Below are 4234 nucleotides of genomic sequence, written 5' to 3' on the forward strand. Positions count from 1 at the left end.
GCAGGAACAGATTTTTAATTAAATAAATAGCTGGGTCGGCAGGCAGGTGCGCCCGGGCAAGCAACCTGCCCCGGGATTTGGTTTGCAGCAGTTGCTTGGCAACACAACACAGACGGTCTCTGAACAACAGCTGCACCCTCTGTTAGCAGCTAGCAGATGCTCACACCTCAGAGAATGGTGTCAGAAATAATGATTTGTGAGTAATAGTTTGTAGAGCTCTCTAATAAACAGAAATAAAATAGCCTGAATGATAAAGGTCAAAGATATTCCAGACTGTTATAATGAATATGAATTTGGATCCAGTGAAATTATCAGAAAAAGACAATGAAGATGAAATATTACTGATACACTGTAACTAAAAAAAGAAAAAAAGCAAAGAAACTTCTATTATATATGACACAAAGTCAGAGGTACTTTTACATTATTTCATTTAATTTTTCAAATAAATTTCTAAGTATTTCTATGTCTACTTTAGAAGATGAGACACTGAGTTTCAGAGAATTTAAATCATTTACAACTATAAATATAGTTTTCACTATTAATTTAGTATGCAAATTTAGGTAGAAATCAAAGATGGAATGTTTAACATATTACAAGAAAGAATATGTGTAATGTAATAACTGTTACTACTAGCAACTGGTAGCCATGTCAGTATAAAACTGTGTTCCTTATGTTGTTTCTATAGGATCATGCTTGAATTTAATATAACTAAAAGTTTGAGTAATTTGGTCTGTTGTTGTTAATTTAAAAATATCAAAAAAAGCAGGACTGGAAATTCTGGATCTCTGTAGTCACAAGAATGTATAATTAAGTTGTGACAAATCAGAACCTCCTACTACTTTATTCTTAACTGATTATCCCATGCCATGAACATATGGCCCCAATTTTAATGCTTCTTTTAGTACAAATTAAGGTGAATAAAGTCATTAGAATTATCTATTTGTGTTTTGGTAAAATAAAAATTGCTTTAATGTTTATTTTAAAATTTGTAATATTTGCATTTTACATGAAGCTTTAACAGTTTTTTTTAAGGCAGTGTGTATACAAGATTTTTTTTTCTGCAGTTCATCATCCTATGCACACATGGGGTATGAGAACCAAAGTACAAAGGGAGACTATATAATCACACAGATTAATCTCCTCTCTCACAACTGCACATATGCCCATGCTTTGCTAACTATGTGCCCAGCTTTTCCCTTAATTTACAATAAATGGAAACTCAGTAATAATAAAGCAGCTTGCTATAAAAATACATGAAGTAGAGTTTTATCATTTTGATTATTTTTTAGTAAAAAAGTATATTTTCTTTTAAAACCATATTTAAATAAAATCTCCACAAATATTTTTCAGTAGTCATAATATTTTCTATGAATCTTTAGATGAAAAATATTTATTCATTTTCCCTTTAAAGCTTTAAAAACTTGTTACCTAAATAACATTTTATAAGTTATCACATTTTTTTGAATGAAGTGTTACAGGTCTTTGAGAAGATAAAAATACTTCCATCCCAACAATTGAATATATAACTTATTTGGTGATATAGCATTGAGTTAATTTAATGTTGAGTGGTATATTAAATTATTCTTATTGGGTCAACAAATAAAAAGTTGCAGATATTCTAGACAGTGTTTCTTTCATAATCTTTTTAAGGATGTAAATGAGTCTAATAAATGAGTCATATATACACATGAAGAATTGAATATTCCAAAAAGTTGACTTTCAAGAGTAAATCCCTAAGGAAAGAAAAACCCCCCCTTTTTTTTTTTTTTTAAGAGGGCAATGTTTATCAATTAGGCATATTATTGGACTTTAGGAAAAAAGCCTCCATTCTTATTTATCCTTAATACAGATTTAAATGCTAAATAAATTTTTGACTAATATTCCAAAACTGCTTTACTTCATTAACTCATCAGTGTCATGTATGTATTGACAGCAAGTGTAGGAAGTACTTCTCTGGATATTTGTTCAGGCAAATTTTTAGATAAAGCAGTCCTTGCAAAGAGATTTCTAACATCAGAGCTCACCACTGTAGTTTATGCAGGTATATTTAATTTGTAAGTGGACTAGCTGTCCTCAAAGTCAACTCCTCCTAGAAGGGAAGTATGAATCTTTGATTTATAAAACTAACAAAAATAAGAGCAGTGTTGTAGTTTTATTACATAAATTTAAAAAAATAATATGTGTACATATATCACTAGAAAATAGAAAAGTAAAAATTTGCCTTAGTGGTATAATTTAAGGAGTTCTATTAACATATCCTGATATGATGCAGTGAGCATACTATATCTCTTTTATGATATTATTGCTAAAAATACAATCCAATGAAATCATTAAAAATATCAGACGATCTGAAATTGAGAAATACACTACAAAATAACTTGTCAGTACTCTTCAAGTGTCAATATCTTGAAAGAAAAGAAAGTTTGAGGAGATTTTCTGGGCTAATGGAGACTGAAGAATTTATAAGTAAACACATTGCAATCCTTTTTGGATCCTCGACCAGGAAAAGGACATCAGTGAAACAGTTCGCAAAATTTAAATATAATCTACAGATTAGAAATTATTGTATCAATATTAACCTTCTGGTTTCTATCATTTTACTGTGGTTATATAAAATGTTAACATTTGGGGAGTGTGGTTGCAGGTGGAAATAGGACTTTTTTGAACTATTTTTGTAATTTTTTTATATGTCTGAATAATTTCAAAATAAAAACTAAAAAATTAAAATTTATTTCTCAGCATCAAGCCATTGTTGAATGTAAGTTGATATCTACTAAGAGCCAGGTGCAGTGGCTCACACCTGTAATCCCAGCCCTTTGGGAGGCTAAGGCAGGAGGATTGCTTGGGGCCAGAAGTTCGAGACCTGCCTGGGCAACATATTGAGACATTGTCTCTACAAAAAATAAAAGCAAAGTTAGCTGGACATGGTGGCTTACGCCTCTAGTCCCAGCTACTTGGGAGGCTTAAGCAGAAAGATTGCTTGAGCCCAGCAGTTCAAGGCCAGTGAGCTATGACCACGCTTCTGCACTCCAGCTTGAGCAACAGAGTGATACCTTGTCTCTTAAAAAAACAACAACAAATAAACAACTACTAAGAGCCACATTTTAGGCTCTTATTAATATCAACATCATTTTCTTTGTGATGGTGTCTGATGTCACTAAGTACAAAGGGCAAAAGGAAAACATATACATATAGATCAAATCAGATTCCTTGAGAGTAAAATGTGGACTTATAAATATTGGTAGAACACAAGTAAATGGGGACTGTTCAGAGAAAACTGGGGAGTATAATCACTGAATTTAGAGACCCTATTTAGAGAAGAACTATCTGGGCTTACAGAAGAACACACTCTGTAATAACAGTGACTCATCCATCTTTGAGCTTTAACCACTTAGCACAGTACTTTGCATATAGTAAAAAGTCAATACATGTTTATTGAACTACATAGGAGTCTGGTGAAGAGGTCAACTTCATATGGGGACAAATGGCCTATTTCATCAGTTCAATGTGGGACTAGCCAGTCCACTCAGTAGATAAAGTTTGGGCAGATTTCCCACCTTATTGCTGTATTTTCAAAACTATTAACATCCTTGGTATTTATAATCCCATATATGATGCAAATCCAAGAGCCAGAAGAGATTGTCAACTCAGGAGAAGAGGTCACAGAAAGAAATGAATGGGCTGCTGAGACGTTCGATAGCAATGTTAGGAATTTCTGTGGTTGAAAAAAGAAAATAAAATTGAATATCTTTACTTCTTTAGAGAAAGCATAAACAATGAGTGATTATTGAATTGAGAACTACTTTGTAGAGGGCAATCTAATTGTTGACTATGCCCCTGGAGGTGTAAATCAGAAAATCATTGGATACCACTAGTTCACAAATTCTCTTTCATCACACGCAAACAACAAATGCCTCAACAATCAATCAAACAGTTCATTCAGAATCTGGTGCTGTGTCAGAAAGATTGCTAAATGCTATTTGTTACACTGCATTATCTTTCAGTAAGTAAGAATATAGTTTTTCTAAGTTTTTCTCTCAATCAAAACCACATATTGATATATACCTGCTGTCTTTCACAAGTCAAAAATACCAACAAAGCTTTGAATTGCTTTCAGCTATGTGGAGACAACTCGGTTCATTCCCCTTGACAGGTTATAAACTTTAAGCATTAATTCTATATTTACATATTGCTAATTTAAAGGAGTGAATGTCACTTTACCTTTACTGATTAT

This window comes from Homo sapiens, chromosome 7 (genome assembly GCF_000001405.40).
Source record: "Homo sapiens chromosome 7, GRCh38.p14 Primary Assembly".
Lineage (NCBI taxonomy): Eukaryota > Metazoa > Chordata > Mammalia > Primates > Hominidae > Homo > Homo sapiens.